General features: G+C 53.0%; 1 pseudogene across 1 annotated transcript in view, besides 2 other annotated features; it reads left to right on the top strand.

The window, feature by feature from the left end:
• GUSBP11 (GUSB pseudogene 11) overlaps positions 1–18,200 on the top strand; it is a 78,937-nt pseudogene that overhangs the window by 26,673 nt on the left and 34,064 nt on the right. The window contains exons 9-10 of the transcript NR_024448.2: positions 395–515; positions 6,884–7,026. The product of NR_024448.2 is annotated as a GUSB pseudogene 11 (transcript). The remainder of the gene's footprint in view (positions 1–394; positions 516–6,883; positions 7,027–18,200) is intronic.
• Positions 5,295–5,589: a silencer, noted in NCBI's record as "tiled region #3793; HepG2 Repressive DNase matched - State 18:Pol2, and K562 Repressive DNase unmatched - State 8:EnhW". NCBI's record gives its function as "represses a minimal TATA promoter and a strong SV40 promoter by Sharpr-MPRA in HepG2 and K562 cells {active_cell/tissue: HepG2 | K562}" and the evidence as "EXISTENCE:reporter gene assay evidence [ECO:0000049][PMID:27701403]".
• Positions 16,228–16,832: an enhancer, noted in NCBI's record as "H3K4me1 hESC enhancer chr22:24016106-24016710 (GRCh37/hg19 assembly coordinates)". NCBI's record gives its function as "activates a minimal SCP1, AML or CMV promoter by ChIP-STARR-seq in naive H9 embryonic stem cells {active_cell/tissue: H9 hESC(naive)}" and the evidence as "EXISTENCE:reporter gene assay evidence [ECO:0000049][PMID:30033119]".

Below are 18,200 nucleotides of genomic sequence, written 5' to 3'. Positions count from 1 at the left end.
GGAGTCAGTGGTAACACCATGGACCACCAGAGGATCGGGATCTGGAACTCACACCAAGAAGCACCAACCCTTCAGGGACTTGTGCATATGGAGAACCTGGGTGCCCATGGTGAAAAGCGTTCTAGGCTTTCAAAGTAACATTGCATGTGAGGATGGAGAATGATAAAACGATTCCTGCCTTCAAGGCATCGTCCCGGTGTTTGTCAGCTGTGGGGCAACAGCACCCTCTGTGTCAGCAACCTGCATGAAGAGCATCATCCCTGCAAGTCCTCAAGGCCTGGGGAGGCCTCATCCCCTCCTCATTTCAGCAACAGCACACAGGACAATACGCTCTAGAAGAACTCTTTGACTTAAAGGTATATGATTGTTTTTGTTCCTTTAACATGAACGTGAGTCTGGAGAAACAGCTACGGCCATCCCAGCCCTGGCCAAGGGGAAAATGCCGGAAGACTCCAGGGTGGGAGGAAGCGCGTCCCAAGGCCCAGGATCTGCGAGGCGACTTGGGGAAAACGCAGGCAGGTATTGAACCCGTGAAAGGTTACGCAAATGTATGTTTGAAAGTGGAAATGAAACAAGGATTTTCTCTGCCACACAGACAGCAGGTTGGCGAAAAGTTAAAAGCGTGTTAGTATTCAGGGGAGGCTGCGTTCAGAGAAGCAGCTACCTTCAGAGGCTGCTGGTGACCGTGTGACCAGCTGGAGCCCTTTTGGAAAGTCAACTAGCTAGAGCTGTTGAAAGTTGATATCTGCATATCCTTTCACCCAGATATCCCTTTCCTGGGTGTCTGTCTGCTGCAGGGGATTTGTTTATTTTATGGGTTGAATTGTGTCCCCTTCCCCAAATGTAACTGTTTCTATTCTCAACCCCAGAGACTCAGAATGTGACTGTGTCTGGACACAGAGTACTCCAAGAGGTAATTCAGGTGAAGTGAGTTCATTAGGGTGGCCCCTAATTTAACATGCCTGGGGTTCTTACAAGGAGAGGGGGTCAGCGCACAGAGAAGTTCAAGAGAAGACCCTGTGCTGACTGAGATAGAAGTCCGCCATCTCCAAGGCAAGGAGAGAGGCCCAGAGAAACCACCCCAGGCTGACAGTTTGACGTTGGACTTCCAGTCTCCAGAATTGTGAGGAACCAGATTTCTGTGGTTAAGCCCTTCAGTCAGGGTGCCGTGTTATGGCAGCCCTGGCAAACTGCTCCAGCCTATTAGGACACGCATAGGATTATGCTCCTTGTAGAAAGGCTGCCTCGAAAGGGAATTTTATCATGACAGGCTCCACCAGCACTGAGAGGCTGACCCGCTGTGGAAAATGGCCTCCCTTAAGGAATGTTACAATGACATGCGAGGGTACAACTCCTGCCTGATGGGGCTGCAGGGATGAGTTCTGTGAGATGACACTTTAAAGACTAATGCATAGAGTCGCTTCACCTTCTTTTGTTGTAATCAATGCACCCCCCCCACCCCCACCCCTTGTTTGTGCAAAAGTGTTGGATTTTAAGTCCTGGAGGAGGTCTGGCAGGGCAGCGGAGCTGCCTGCCTGTTGCCGGAGATCCACTTAGGGTGGGGAGTTAAAATGATAACAGTGTGAGTATTTTGCTGCAATGTTACCATTGTACTCAATTCTTAAAGCAACATGCCGAGATACTCCTGGCATAGCCTAAAGTGAAAACAGAAGGATTTTCTCTGGTCTTCCTCTGATAGGTGAAAGGGACTTTGCCTGTAACCAAGTTGCCACTGGGGACTAATGGCAGCCAGATTCCTTTGGGAGAGGACAGTGGGTCACTCAAGTGGGAACGCCCTAGGATGGAGCTTAGGGAGTCCCCATATTCGTGTCTGAGTCCTGGGCCCACCTTGGTTTTCACAAGTCCTGTCTGTGGAGACCCTTCTGTGCCCAATCTCACCGCAGACCGGCACTGGACGTGGTTGGTGGTGTGGTGCACGTGCCCTTTGAAGAATATGGAGAAATTGAATCCATCCAACAGCTCTTGTTTGGTCTGTTGTGTGGAGCTCTGCAAAGAGAGTGCCCGAGAGCCGGGCCAAGAGGTGTCAGTGGCCTGTCTGGCTGACCCCACAGTGGGACACCCCCATTAGAACTCATCCCTGGCACCCCCTTCCCCAACAGGATTTGGCACATAGGAGCATCTGCATAGACCTCCAGCCAGAGAAGCCTGAGGTCTCCGGCAGATGACAGCTTGAGGACTTGGGATTCAGATCTGAGCAGACAAACTGTGTCCTTGACACTCACCTTCCCATCCTGCCAGGCACTGCCTGGGCTGTGAACCTGACATACCTACCAGGCTCCAAACACCTGACAACCTACCTGCTCCTATCCAGGGAGGGCCCCTCATCTCCTGTTTCCCCCAAACAAGTGGGGAGGGGCCTGAGGCTGCCCTGATGGGCACAGCTGAGGCCTAGCCTGGATGGGCCTGCCCTGGGCCCTGTGTTACCTGTGGGTGCCTTCTGGCAAAGGGCCAGAGGCGTCGAGGGTGAGGGTTGAACCAATGTCTATATTCTCGGGAAAGACTCTCATTTTGGCCTCTTGTGCGACGAGGAGGTCGGCAGCATGTCGGGATACAGCAGGAGAACATGTTGTTCTCTCGAGCATCGCCTACGAAGTGAGCTGGAAATGGGGCTGTCTCTAGAATGTGGGTGCCTAGTTACCAGAATTGTAAGTTCTGTTGGGGGTCTGTCGGCAAGGAAGTGAGGTCACATCTTGTAGGTTCCATCCTGTAAGCTCCTCCTTTCCATAAGTCCTACTCAAAGGCCCCTCTGGGCTTCTGACCGCTCACCCTCCCCCGTCAACTCCTTACGTAGTCACCATTATGAAAAAGTGTGCCCCTTCAGCACCTTGGGAAGACCTGGATATAACCAGGGTCCCAGGTTTGAGGAGACAGTGCTGGGTCAAACAGCCTTTATTTTAGCAGTTGTGAGACCCTAGAGAACTCCTTTGGTGTTTTGGGGTCTCCCCAGCATGCACAATGGGGGTTATGCTAGCATCTCTTTCCTAGGGAACTCATGAGGTTATGTTTGAGATAAATATTTAAAAACTCATGGTGTGGTGTTCCCTGTGGATATTGCACACACTTAGAAATGGAACAAATACAAGAAGGGGTGAGAGGTAACGTCTAATGCAACTCCAGTGGGCCTGGGGTCCACAGTGTGATCTCGGGAAAAGACACTTTTGCTCTGGGCCTCATCTTTCATGCTGCACCAGTAGAGGTTGAGATTAAATGAAATTCAGACATCCTCCTCCTATGACATTGCACCTTCCAGTGCCTTCCCATTTTATTTAGACCCAGACCCTGTGCCTCATCTCAGCCTAGGGTGGGCAGCGTCCACAGAGACAGCACTGAGGGGTTAGTGACTCCCTTCTGAATGATGGAATATGACACAGATGATGGAATAGCACTTCTGGGCTAGTTCAGGCTGTTACAGCAAAGAAAGAGCTGTAACGGCCTGGGGAGCTCATCAAAAACAGAACTGTATTTCTCCCTGTTCTGGAGGCTGGAAGTTGGATATCAGAGTAGCAGCGTGGTCGGGCTTAGTGGTGACACTGCCGCCCCATTCATTGAGCTTTTATAGGTGCTGTCCTTTCCTTGGAGGACGCCTCAACTTTAGGAGCATGGGTAGACCTCCATTCAAAGCCCAGCTCCCCCTTGTAGCTTGGTGATCGTGAGGAAGTCATAGAACATCCCTGTGCCTGTTTTCTCCTCTGAGAAATGGCGTTAGTGAGAATTGTTTCCCTTTTTAATCACAGAAAATAAAGCATGCGAAGAAGTTAACTTGGTGCCATTGGGCAGAGGGTGAGAGCCCAGCAAACCGGAGAGATCAGCTGCCCACATCAGTGGCGAGGAGTGCGGAGAGTGGGTGAGGCTGGGGCAGGAAGCAGGCCAGCCTGCCAGAGCCCAGGAACAGGTGAAAGGCAAGAGTGAGCTCCTCACCCTGAATTCTCAGGGTTCACAGGCATGCAGGGGCTGTGGGGAGTACAATCATCAGGGCTGCTCTCGTTCCCCTGGTTCCCTCCATATCTGACGTGGTCCCAGGGCCCCTCTCCCTGTGTTTCCTCTCTGCCCTACTTTCTTTCTGGCTGCCCTCCCAGGACTCATTTTTGGCCCTGGTAAGGTGGAGTCTTGAGGTAACTATAGGCCTATTAATAACTCCTCTGATGTTCAACCTGCCATTTGTTGAGACCTCTGAGCTTAGTCAGAAATCTGCTCCTGCTGGGACCTGAGAGAGGGCTGGAGGGAGCTGACAGTGCAATGGCAGTTTTCCCTGGGGCAGCCACTCCAGGGTCTATTGGCAGGTATCTGCCGAACTGGAGCTTTCTTTTGGGTGTCTGGTGTTCTGAGGTGTGATTTTCCCTCTGAAGATAGGCTGAGCCCCAGGTGGGTGCCTTAGCCTCAGAAATGGGTCCCCCTGAGCTGGGAGCTGTGCTCTACCCTCAGTGTCCTAGGACACCTCACACCTGGCCCTGCCCATTCTGGCTTCCGAAGCCCACAGAGAGGGTCTGTAGAAATTGCTAGATACAAAAGGACTACAAATAAGTCATAGGAAGTGTATTTACATAACGCAGTGGTTTTCAGCCATTACTATATGTTTACTTCAGCAAAGGCAAAATTTAAGAATGTTAATACCCTGTGTCACCCTGCAGAGATTTGGATTTATTTGATGGGGCAGGAGACAGGCATCTTTGGTTTTGTTTTGTTTTGTTTGTTTCTTTTTTGAAAGCGGGACTTTGCAGTGTTGCCCAGGCCATAGTGCAGTGGCATGATCATGGGCACTGCACCCTTGATCTCCCAGGCTCAAGGAATCCTCCCTTCTCTGCCTCTCAAGTAGCTGGGACTATGGGCATGCACCACCATGCCATGCTAATTTTTGTGTTTTTTGTAGAGGTGGGGTCTCACTGTTCCACCCAGGCTGGTCTTAAAAGTCCTAGCCTCAAGCTGTCCTCCTGCCTCAGCCTCCCACAATGCTGAGTTGACAGATGTGAGCCACCATGTCTGGCCTGTTCCTTTGAAGAGCTCCCTTAGTGTTTCTAATGGGCATCCAAGCAAAGAAGATTTTGCTGGCAGAAGGCTCGTGGAACCCTACTGAGGCCGCATCTTCTTCACAGCCAGCAGATCATTCCCTGAAGTATCTGCTTAGCAGTGCACAGGCTATTTATATCCTGGGCTTTGGGTAGCTGTTGGGTTTGGGGACTGGCTGGCGCATGAGTATTGGCTCTGGGATCTGTCACAGCCTGGTCTTGTGGGACACCCAGTCTAGGATCCTCCTTCCCAGACCACCATTGTTCCTCTCACTGCCCCTATGGCAGGAGACCAAAGCCATGACCCCATGGTCAAAGGCATCCATGTGCAGGACTGAAGTTGAGTGACTCATGTGGGGAGGGGCGGGGCACAGCTGCTTGCTGGAAGGGTGTTGGGAAGTATTGGTCCATCAGCTGTCATGTCCACCTTTTCCTGCTGAATCCCAGCGATCCTCAGTGGTCTGAGAAGGGTGTGACACCTGGGTTCTTGGCTGGCTGAGCTGGTGCTTTTGCAGCCTCTTTGGGGCTCTTGTATGTGAGGTCTCACCTGAGTTGCTTCAGGAAACCTTTGACCCTCAGGCTACCTCCTGCTTAAGAGCAGAGCCTTTGTGTGGAGATCTGGCTGGCCTCTCTAGCATCCAGCCTGTCCTGTCCTGTTATGTCTCGGTTTGAGGTTGTGCTGAGGGGTCTCTTCCCATAGAGGAGGCAAGGCCAGTCGTGTGGGTCAGAGTGAAGCATGGCGATCCCAGCTGGCTGTGCCCGGCCTTTGACTGGAGGAGTCTGAGAATGACCAAGTCTGGGGAGCTGCCCTTCCTGGGAAACAGCATGTCTCCTCCCCTATTGTGGAGTTTCTGGATGTGATCCAGAGTGTGCTGGGCCTCTGTAGCATGTGCTGGGTGTAGCTGTGTGATTCAGGGTGGGAGGTGCAGGGGATCATCTGCTCTGAGCCAGATAAGGCCTGGACAGGACTGGCGGGCAGCCCTCGAAGCCAGGTTTGATGGGAGAGTAGGCACGGGTAGGGAGGGGACAGGGTCACCGGGGCTGTGTGTCACCTGTTCTTGCTGCTTTGTCTGCCCTGGGAGTGAGAACAGAGGTGGGCTGCTGTGGACCCACTTTGGCTTCCTGCAAGCAGGTGTTCATGTGGGGAGCAAGGCGGTTGGGTGGGGGACAAAGCTGGTCTCTGAGGTGTTGAGTGGTTCTTTGTCTGTCATTGTCCTTTTTCTCTCTGCCTTCCCCAACAGCTCTGCTGTAGCAGCCCATTGACCAAGTAGGTCACTCAGAGCATCCTGGTCCTACACATAAGCGTTAAGGCCCCTGAAGGGCCAGAGAAGGCTTAGGAGTTTCTCAAGAGTGAGCCCAGGGTGGGAGGGGGCCAGAGTCACTGAGAACAGCCCATTTGAAAAGTCAGGCAGAGGGATCCTGAGCCCTGAATATGCCTGCCTGGCCTGCGGTAACCATGCCAGCAGGGTCAGGGCATTTGGCCAATTGCTGTCTTGGTCGAGGCAGGAACATCTTGCTTCCCCAGCCCCTGTCTTTTTGTCTCCAGTATCCTTGGAGCAGCTGCAGGGTGGGTAGTGGGGTGTCTCTCCCAGCTGCTTGAAGAGATGAGCCTCCACCCGGCTGCCTCTGCCAGGGGAAACGAGTAATGACTGCAGCAGGGAGAAAAGCGAGCCCAGCCCCTTTTAGAATCAACCCTGCTGCTCCGATTCTAATTTTCAGTTCAGATTTTGCAGGCACGAGTGTGGGTCCCTGAGTACCTGCCCTTTGAATTCTTTTGGTGAGGACTGAGCATTCCCCCAGGAGCTTCTCATCGAACCCCAAAAACACGGCCCCCAATTCACCACCTCATCCCTTCCCAGGACCTGCTGAAGCTCACACCCGTGGACCACCCAGACTGCCTGCCGCTACAGGATGCCCTCCGCATCTCCCAGGACTTCTTTCCGGCATCAGTGTGGACATTGACCCCACTGGACTGCAGTCACAGTGGACTCCCAAGGGGCAGGTGAGCTCATGGCACAGCAAGGCCTCACGCTCAGGTTGAGGAGCCCAGAGTGGACCAGATCCCCAGTCCCTTCTCTGATGGCACAGGCATCTCTCTGTGCCCCTTGTCTCTGCAACCCTGATTCCCCATTCCCAGCCAAGGAGAGGTCTTCGATCCCTGGTCATGCTGATTTGATTCCCTGTGGCATTGTGGGCCCTAGGCTGAGAGCTTTAAGCCCAGTCTCTCAATAATCCTAAGAATCCAGTGAGCCAGAAGAGGGCACAGGACCAGAGAGTCTCTCCAGGTACGCCACACAGTCTTTGAGCTGTGTCAGAGCTGGATTGTTTACCTGGGGCTGGCTGTTTGGAGGCCCCAGGCATTGTCCCCCACACCAGGGAAGTTGGCCTGTGGGTAACTCGTTCTTGAATGCAGACACCTGCCTATGCCATCAGGGTGACCCAGGAGGGTGAGGGAGCAGGACATCTCAGCCACTTTAGATTGACTTGCATGAGCAAGAGCCAGGAAGGGAGCCCCACAGAGGGAAAGGCTGGTATTAGAGGTGGCCAAGGCCATCCAGGTTGCTGGAACATTCCACATGGGCTCCTGGATGTCAAACAGCAGTTTCCCTGGGGGCCCTTCTTGGTGGAAGGGTGGGGGTTAGTCCAGTGAGGAGAAACAACACTCAGCATGAGAGGCACAATTAACCCCTGTGGGTCGGCAGCCTGGCCCAGATCAAAGGCTTCCTGACCGATAGAGGTTGTTATGTGGCCCTGAGGAGTGAAGACTGCCTGGGTTCATGCTGCTTTGTTACATTTGTGAGTGAGGGGCAGGTCTGGAGAGTGTCTGATGGCGCATAAGGAGCTGTTTCTGTGCAGTTGTTGGTTCTGGTTTGCAAAACCATGGGATATCACTAGTTTGGTTTACTCTGGGGATATCTGAAAAATCTCTGGAAGACTTAGAGTAGCATCAGTTGTAGGTCATCTTAACTGTACGGTTTCAATGCACGCACCTACATCTCGCAGTGTACACAGGTCACACGGTGTGTCATAGAGACAGGAAAGACTGGGACAGATGGTTGCAGCCCCATGGAAGCCCCCCTGACTCTGAGGGTGGCTGAGGGGAAACTCTGGAAATCCTCATGGAGTAGAAACCATCCAGAGCCCAGGTGAGAGGTGGCTGCAGGTCCCCCCAGGACACTTCTGCAGCCCCAACCGAAGGCAGCCCGGGGTCTCCCATCCCCTGGGTATATTTGTTAAAAATGTGTCCATCATATATGAATTTGGGTTTGGTATTTGGTTCCCTCGTTGTGTCTTGTTCTGTATTTTTGTGTTAATGTCAATACCGTATTGTTTGGACCACTATAGCTCTTCTATGTCATTTGTAATCAGGGAGCATAATACATCCATGTACTTTGTATTTCCCAGTGATGAGATTGCTAGATGACATAGTAATTGTATTTTTAGTTTGAGGAGGAACTGCCAACTATTGCTCATAGTGTGTACGCCCATTTACATTCCCACCAGTAGTGTCTAAGAGTTTCCCTCTCTGTAAATTTACACTTGTGATTGCGTTTTAAAAATTCTGTTTTTGCTTTTGGCAACATTCATTTTATGTGGATGGGGACGCTGTCTTAGTGTGATTTGATTTAAATTTTTGTGATGATTAGTGATGTGGGCAAGCTTTTTTTTTTTACCTGTTCATTTCCTGCCTTCTTTTCAGAAATGTCTATCAGTTCTTTGCCCAAGTTTTGTTGGATTAGTTGGTTTTGTGTATTTTCCTACCTTATGTTAGTTTCTGGTATATGTCAGATGAACACCTTCAGCTCCATGATTCCTTATACTTACCGCCTCACAGCATCCTGTGCTCATTCTGTCTCTTCCGCTCAATGACCACTGCCTGTGTCCCATTCTTCTCCCTCCCCAGGGCAGGGCCCAGACCTCCTGCCTCCCATGGAAGCCTGGCCCAATGCGGGGCCAGCCACATGGCACAGTGTCCAGGGCCTTTCTGAGTGGTGGACAGGCCAGTTGGCATGGAAAATGGTGTCTGGGGTTTCTGAGTTGACTGTTGAATGCAGACTCAACCCACTCACAACCAGTCACCACCACTGCCACCCAAGCAAGCCACCTGGGAGCCTGGAAATTGCTCTGCCCACCTCTTGCCATGGGCACAGACACATACCATAGGGAGGACTGCCAACAGACCCAGCCCACCTGCCCCTGGTCCCCAAGGATGACATTCAGGGGCCTGGGGATCACCCCAGCCCACCAACCACAACCTGTGTCCATGCAGGCTCCCACAGGGCCTAAGGACAGGCTGACCCCTCCCAGAGAACCCCCACCCCACAAGTACCCAAGTACTTCACCCAGGGACCTGGGTATAGACCTGCCCTGCCTTCCACTTCTGGCATGTGCTTGCACCAGCAGGGGGCCTAACAACAGGCCAGACCACCTGATGCCAGCATCAGGTCCCATGCCATCGTGGGACCTGGGGATCACCCTGCTCTACCCATGAGCACCATCAGGGGCCCCGGGGCAGGTTCATCCCACCTGGCATATGTATGCATGAACTAGAAATGTGTTTGCCTGCTGGGCATGGTGGCTCACGCCTGTGATCACAGCACTTTGGGAGGCCAAGGCGGGTGGATCACCTGAGGTCAGGAGTTTGAGACCAGCCTGGCCAACATGGTGAAACCCTGTCTCTACTAAAAATACAAAAATTAGCCAGGCGTGCTGGCATGTGCCTCTAGTCCCAGCTACTCTGGAGGCTGATGCAGGAGAATCGCTTGAACTCAGGAGGCGGAGGTTGCAGTGGGCCAAGATTGCGCCACTGCTCTTCAGCCTGGGGGATAATCCGATTGAGACTCCATCTCAACAGCAAAAAAAAAAGTGAGAAAGAAAAATGTGTTTGCCGCTGTGATACTTTCAACAACTCAGAGACATGGGGAAGCAGTTGATACGTCATAAAAAAAAGCCCGTGGCAGATCCAGCTGAGAGATGTGATGGCAGTTCTGCTGCTATGAAAGCAGTCTTTCTTTGACATTAAGGTTTGTCACAGCTCTTGAAAATTTGGCAGTGAGGTTGAAGGTCTCTCAGAAATTCCACGGATCCTTGTATTGCGTATGCATGAATAAAGTTAGAAAACTTTTTTTATCTTTCTCTAGAAATGAATATGAACTTGGGTTAACTTTCTGAGTCAGTTCCCTTGGAAACCTGGAAAAGGTGGAATGTCATCTGTGTTGGGTTACCAGACTACAAATAAAAATGGCCCAGAGTTGGTCATCATTATCTGAATTGGGAGAGCTGTGAATGAATTGTAAAACAATGGGGGCATCTCGAGTTAGAGAAGAGTATTTGCAATTTTTGAAGTCTGCCATCAATTGGACTTTGCTATTGTTAGAAATGTTTTGAAGTCTGTGGTCAACTTTTTCGTGGCTGGCTTTGGAGAAAAAATCAAGAGGTAAACCATACTTTGGGTTTCCCTGAGCGCAGTGGTGTTTGTAACTAGGCATGTCCGTTGCTGGGACCCTTGAAAACTTTGACCATGGGACTGTTAAAAGAAATCTCAGTGTCTTTTTGGGACACAGGCTTCTAAGCTTGGTAGCCCTGTGCCCACCCATGTGACCTTGCTGCTTTGCACGTGAGGTGTCACTTGGGGAGCAGGATCCAGAGAATAGCTCCTGGCCTGAAGTGTGGACAGCCGTGAGGATTCCTGCTAAAGACACAGGCAGGATACATCTGCTGGCACACGGTGTTTCGTGTCTTGTATCCTTCTACGTGATACCAATGGCACTATTGGCTTCATGGGGACTATTTTAGTCGTGTGAATGTTAGATGTATAAGTGAACTAAGGCCAGCCGAGGGCACAGTGGTGTGTCAGTGTCACTAATCATCAGAGAAACACAAATCAAAACCACAATGAGATCTCACCCCAGTTAAAATAGGCCTTTGTCAAAAAGACAGGCAATAATGAACACTGGTGAGGACGTGGGGAAAGGGGAGCCCTCAAACACTGTTGGTGGGAATGTAAACTCCCGACCTCAAATGATCCGCCGGACTCCTCAGCCTCCCAAAGTGCTGCTGAGATTACAGATGTGAGCCACCGTGCCTGGCCACAAATGGTATCGTTTTATTTTATATGCAATGGTTCGTTTCAAGTATATTGAATACAGTTCCCTTCTGCCTGTTTGTGTTGTATCACAAAACTCATATTGAAGCTCTAAAACCAGAGCATTTGTAAGCCACTCCTGGATTTTGAATGGGGCATGGATGGACTCAACCTCTTTTAATTCCTCCAAAGAATCCCATGAGATTTAAAAAAAACTTTCACTTTAGATTCAAGGGGTACATGTGCAGGTTTGTTATGTGGGTATATTGTGCAGTGCTAAGGTTTGGGGTATGAATGATCCCCAGCACCCAGATAGGACCCAATATGTAGGTTTTCAGCGCTTGCCCCTCTCCCTCTCAGCCCCTGCGGTTGTCCCCAGTGTCTATTGTTCCATCTTGATGTCCATGTGTACCCAGTGCTTGGCTCCCACTTGAAGTGAGAACGTGGTATATGGTGGCTCACGCCTGTAATCCCAGCACTTTGGGAAGCCGAGGCGGGCGGATCACAAAAAAAAAGATAAAATAAATAAAGGCTACAAATAAACAGTCAGATGAAGAGATAATATAAGGCAAAGACTGGAAGACTCCCAAGTACAGAAGTTTCTGTCCTAATGGAGTTGGACACATGGATGAGTTGGGTTTTTTTGTTGTTGCCCAGGCTGGAGTACAGTGGCACTATCTCAGCTCACTGCAGCCTCTGCCTCCCATGCTCAAGTGATCGTCCCCCTCAGCCTCCCAAGTAGCTGGGACCACAGGCATATGCCACCATACCCAGCTAATTTTTTTTTTTTTTTTTGTAGAGATGGGGTCTCTCTATATTGCCCAGGCCGGTGGTGAACTCCTGGGTTCAAGCCATTCACCCACCTCGCCCTCTGGAAGTGCTGGGATTATAGGCATGAGCCACTGCGCCTGGCCTTGGATGAGTTCTTATTCACCTTCCTGTCGGCCTCCACATGAAGCTCCCCAAACCTTGTCCTCTTTGGTCTTGTAAAAAAATATATATAATTAAAAAATTAAAGACAGGGTCTTACTATGTTGCCCAGGCTGGTCTTAAACTCCTGGTCTCAAGTGATCCACCCACCTCGTCCTCCCTTAGTGCTGGGATTACAAGATTAGAGATGCCAGCTGTCAGGTGGCTAGGTAGATTCAGTGTAAAGTCCTAGAAGATGCATTTTAGTAAAAACAGCTAGCCACCTGACAGCTGGCATCCATCCATTCAGTGAAGATTGTTGTGCACTGTGGATACTGTGGAGGGGGCAGCAGTCGCAGCCGGCCTGCAGAGTGAGATGCAGTGCCGGAGGGCTTCAGGAGGAGGTGGCATTGTGATTGGTGTCTGAAGAGTGTCTCCATGATAATGGAGTCAGTGCAAAGTCCCAAAGACCGGGAAGGAGCAAGGGGAAAGGACGGTTCATATCCAGCTGCCCCACTCCAAAAAAAAAAAGGAGGAAAGGACGGGTGCCAGCAAGGTAGGACAAGGGGGACCTCTGGAGTGTTTTTTTTCCAGTGGGGGAGGGGTGTGCTCAGATTTGCATGCCGATTGCCAGGGCTGCAGTAGGGAAACAGCAGAGGGGCTGGGACCTGTGATTGGGAGTCTCCAGGTGAGAGGGGTGGCCTGTGGGGACTGGGGATCAGGTGAGGCTGGGAGTGGGGTATAGAGGTGGGAGCAGCTGGACAGGCCCAGTGAGGATGCAGGGGCAGCTGCCCAGGGCTAGACTCTGGCTGCCCTGGTGGTAGGAGGTCTGGGGAGGCAGCTGCTTAGCTCAGGCTTGGGCACGTCCATCTGGTGTGTCTGAAACATAAGCCAGCAGGGCGCAGACTCGTCAGTGAGAACATTCCTGAGCCCAGTATCCAAGAAGCAAGGGAGGTCGGGAAGGTGCTGCTATGAGGCAGGGGGAGGTCCCCAAAAGTCCAGATGAGAGCATGGCGTGCGTGGAAAGTGCTGCGCAGTTTTGGCATCAGTGAAGTCACGGGGCTGTGTGTGAACAGGTGTGCTTGGGCATGTCACCAGGGAGGCCTTGAGACATGAGCGGGTTCGGGTTGGCTTTCCTGGAGACCAGGACGTGGGATAGTGTCGGGGCTGAGGCATGGACAGTCTTCCTGCACCCCCAACCCCTCCTTGGAGCTTTCAGACACTGCAGATAATTACCAGGTGATGTGATAAATACTACCTGTGGAGGGTGCCTGGTCAGGGAGGACAGGGCGGCCAGGAGGGGTACCCTTTGGGCCCCTGCTCTGAGCTGCTCATCAGGAAAGGTGAGAAGCTCCTACAGGCCTGGTGTCAGAGCCTGGCGAGACCCTGTGAGGTCTTGAAAGTAGCAGATGCTCCCTACAGTCTGTGCGTGGCCGTCTCAGGGAATCCACCTAGTAACTGTTCTAGTTATCCCTGCTCTCTAGGTAGGAGACTGAGGCCAGGAAGGGAAAGGCTGCTGTGATACCCACACTATCAGTGGCTGGGGTTGAGTTTGAACCCAGGGACTCTAGGGCCCATGCCTCTGCCATCCTGCCTCTGAGTTTGGGAGTTGGACTTGTTCCATCAAGTGCCAGGCCAGCCCTGCTGCTGGGTGCTCCCAGGCATTCACAAGCTGACAATTCTGAAGGGCCCACGCACTTGGCCATGCTTCAGTCTGTGTCCTCACATCACAGGTGGGTGCTGGAATAACAAATGCTACAAATGGCACTGGGGGTGTTGGCCAGGCTCTGGGGGCACAGGAGCTCTGCCCATGCCCACAGTTGGCCTGTGCTGACCTCCCTCCGTCAAGCTGAGTGGCACCAGCCCTTCCATTGAGCTGAAGTCTTCCTCCCATTCCTTCAGTGTGGTCTTTGTGGCTCAGAGAATTTGTGGCCAGGTACAGGATCTGGGGTGGCCCCTGTTTCTCTGCTCTGTGGCCTTTGACAGTGGGCAGGATCTGAGGCCAGGCCCACCTGCAGCAGGTGTTACAAAGAGGCAAATTGGCACTTAATGTTGGGAAGAACTCGCCAACCAAACACAGTCCCACTATCTTTGGAGGTAGTGAGCTCCCCATTGGGGAAGGTATGTAAGCTGACCTTTCTGGGATGCTGGAAGATCAGAGGGCAAACACTTGAGATTCCGTGATCCTAATATTGACTCCAATGCTATGATGCTTGGATTTGAAGTCAGTTCTATTTAGCCAGTTTACCAAGTGTCTCCTTGGTGCAGGACACCAGGAGACACAAAATGTCCTAGATAATATTGGGTTTCTGGCTCCCAGGGGTCCCTGAGATGTTGTTCCAGCGGTTCTGGAGTATGGGCCAGGCACAGCTTGCATCTGGACCCATCCGCATTGCTCGCTCATTGTGAGCCTCATGACTGCAGTTCAGGATGTCATGCCCCCATGGCCCACTCAGGGCACGAGGATTTCCGGGTGATTCCTGTGGTCAGCTTCCTGGACCTGACAGTGGGGTGGGGCTGCAATGAGACGCCAGTTGCAGGAAGTGGTTTGCACAGCCTTCCTGGTGTCATGGGTCACTGTCTTGCCGAGTGGCTTTGGGCAGGTCCCTTCCCCTCTCAGCCTGCAGGTTCCTATGCCAGGAGCTCCCTTCTTGCCCCACCAGGGCCTTGTTTTCCCAGATACAGAGGTGGGGCAGATCCCAGCCCGTTGAAACAGACAAGGCTTTGGAGGCCACATTGGGCCCATTTCTCAGAGGGGCAGTGTGGCTGGGTGCTGAGCCAGGCACTGGACTGGCCCCTTGAGCCTCCTGTCAGGCTGAGGCCCCCGAGGCACTGTGGGCTGCTGGTGCCAGTACACAGGAGTGATAAGAAGATGAAAGTCACTAGGATGGTGGGGCGGCACCCCCGCCGGGCTGTGTTTGCAGCTGCCCCTGGCTGGAGGCCAGCTTGGCCCTGGAACGCTCCTCAAGGAATAAGGACACAGAGAGCCAGCTCAGCCAGCCTCTACCTAGCACCCCAATCAGCACTCCCTTCTTCCCATGACCCCTACCCTCTGCCCGGCTCCTGAAACCGGCCAAGGAGCTAATGGACACCCACCAGGGTCTTAATGAGTGAGCCAGGGTTAATGGTTTACTGGGCCCGGTGACACATTGACCAGCCTCCCAGGGCTCTCAAAGTCCAGACTGGCCTGGCCTTGAAGGTCTTAGCTCGGCCACCTCCTTTTCCAGCTTTGACACCTCGGGGCTCAGGACGGGCCTAGGGTGGTCAAGAGGTCCCCTGCAGCCCTCACTTCCTGGAAAAGGCTCCATTTCCTGGCCTTCAGGCTCAGGTGGTTCCTTCTGCCTGTCAGGTCCTCCCCAAATCCAATCCCACCTCCGGCTGGATTCCCAAGGGCCCTATTCTGGTGTCTGCCCCTTCCGTAGGGCTCTTCCCCCTGGGGTGACCATACTGTCTCATGCCCAGCCAGGTCAGGGCTCCTTGAGAGAAGAATCTGGAGGGGCCAGGATTTGATGAGAGAATGAATGATGGAATGAAAGAAGGAAGGTAAGTATGCACCTTGCTAAGAGTGACAATACTGGCAGGCTGCAGACCATGTGTGGACCTCGATCTGAGGGCTGAGAGGCTTGGGCCTGCCAGTGCTGTGGGGGCACCCACCCCATCTCATTGAATGGGGCAGAGCAGGTGAGGGCGTGATGGATGGATGGGCCTCATCCCCCTGCTCCCACTGTCTGGGGTCCTCTGTCAGCCTGTCTGCTCAGACCCTTGAAATTGGGGGTTGAGGAAGGACCCTCCTGGATCATGTGACTCCCTTCAGTCCAGGTGACCAGGGTCCTTGGAGTGACAGCTCCTAGAGCCCCACCTGTAGCCCTGCAAGCTGGGGAGAGGGCCTGTTAGGAGAGGCATCCCCTGCCCTGGGGTTGTAGAGGTGATCTAGGCTCCTCAGACCTTGTGGGGCCTCAGATGCTTACATCTCCAGCCCCTCCTGGCGTGGGCATCTGGCTGCAGCCCAGCTCTGTGGCCCCATCTCCCAGGGAACCTTTGGTCTAATCTGCCTCCCACTGAAACCCAGCCTCATTCAGCCCCACCGAGGCTTTCAGAGTTCAGGTCTCTCATTCAGGGTTTGAGACCCCACCGGACTCAGACCTGCAGCGGTCCCAGATCACACAGCCCCAGGGATGGGACCAGCAGCCAGCCATTGTCCCACCTGCAGCAGTTCTTGTGCCTTTAATGCCTCCCCCGCACCGCACTGCCCGCCCCCATGCTGCCTGGGGAGGCGGGGAGGAGAGGAGCTGGGTCACAGCGGGGAATCTTAGCTTGGTTTTAGTGTGCTGCTGGACGACCAGATCCAGAGTCTGGTGAGCCAGTGAGTGAGGGCAGCTGGCTGTGGCCCAGCGCTGTGTGACCCGGAGGAGCCACTCACTCTCTCTGAGATGCTGGACATCATAAGTGGGGAAGCTCAGGCCAGGGGACTCCCAGGAGTGTCTGGAGGCCTGAGTTCCATTCTCAGCTCTGCCGTATGCTTGCTGTGCTCTAGAGGAGTTCCTCTTCCTCTCCGAGCCTCGGTTTATGCACCTGTGCAGTGGGAGTGAGTTGCACTTCGGGGTGAAGGGGGAAACTCACGTGGGCACATCCTGCAGAGGGATCCCACAGAAGGGGAGAGCCCTGGGTTCTCTATCCAACTGCGTCTGGGCTAGGGGGCGCCTCTGTTTCTTGGCTAAGTGGGTTTGAGAGAGGTATGCCGGTGGGTGAGGGAGGGCTGGGGCAGAGTCACCTGACTTATTCGAAGAAGCCCTTGAGAGAGCCGTGGCTTCTTGGAATTGAGAGGGAAGAGTGGGCCAGACGCAGTGGTCATGCGTGTAATCCCAGCACTTTGAGAGGCCAAGGCGGGCGGATCACGAGGTCAAGAGATCGAGACCATCCTGGCCAACATGGTGAAACCTCCTCTCTACTAAAAATAGAAAAATTAGCTGGGCGTGGTGGTGCGTGCCTGTAATCTGAGCTACTCGGGAGGCTGAGGTGGGAGAATCACCTGAACCCGGGAGGTAGATGTTGCAGTGAGCCGAGATCGTGTCACTACACTCCAGCCTGGGCAACAGAGTGAGACTCTGTCTCAAAAAAAAAAAAGGAGGGGAGAGTGCAGCATGAAGAAACAGACCCAGGAGGATCTGGCAGCCCTGAATGGGGGCGGGGGGTCAGCTCTGGAGTAGAGCCAGAGCTGTGATGGGGTTGGGGGACCCTGTGTCCTTGGGCCATGCTTGCCTCACTCCTGGGTTCTGTTTGTGGCTGTGGATTGGGGTGGGGCAGGGCCATTTGTGCAAGGGGTCATTGCCCAACTCCAGGGGGTGCCTGCCACCTCTCAGCTATATATATGGGGATATATATATAGTTCTTTCAACAGGTTTCCAGCAGGTAGTGGTTATTAAATCTTACTGAAGGGGTGTTTTTTCTAATTCTCAACACTGCACCGCATGGGTAGACAGCGTGGAAGATGGATTCCAACTCCAGGTCTGGGTAGTAAGCGTCCAGTCCAGGGATGTAGACAGGCCTGGAGAAGCCACAGAGATCTGTGCGTTCTCGTACCCAGGGATAGTGACTCCAGGCTGGGGGCTGGCAGGGTAAGGGATGGGTGGGTCCTGGGCTTACCTACAGGTCTGCAGACCTCCTGGGGCCAGCTGACCTCGGTAAATCCCTTTTGTCTAAGCTTCAGTTTCCTGCCTGTGAATGGGGTTGGGGCTGTGCTCTGGTTTCACCCTTGTGGCTCTGGGGTTGTGGTGACAAAGCCATCAAGCTGGGTTGAAGGATTAACCAGGAAACTTCAGACTGGCTGCCATGTCTATCTCTTCCTCATACTCCTCTCTCTGCTGCATCCTGGGAAGCTGCTCTGCTCAGCCTAGATTAGGCTCAGTTGTGTGTGTGCGCACGTGCTTGCACGTGTGTTGGAAGTGGGTGATACTGACACCAGAGTCTGTGTCTCTGGGTGAGTGAGGCTGGCACATTTCTGGGGACAGGGAACTCACTACCTTATGTGCCCAGGACAAGAGCTGTGGGGTCTGCAGAAGACTTCTAGGCCAGCCCCTGCAGTCTTTCCTTGGGTGACATGGCTTCCCCAGACCCACTTCCCCCTAGGTGCCCTCTCTGCATTCAGGGGGTAGAGGGCTGACTGGGACAGAATGTGACACACT

The sequence above is a fragment of the Homo sapiens genome, chromosome 22 (assembly GCF_000001405.40).
Source record: "Homo sapiens chromosome 22, GRCh38.p14 Primary Assembly".
Taxonomy (NCBI): Eukaryota; Metazoa; Chordata; class Mammalia; order Primates; family Hominidae; genus Homo; species Homo sapiens.
This window is presented reverse-complemented; position numbering and strand designations above follow the sequence as displayed.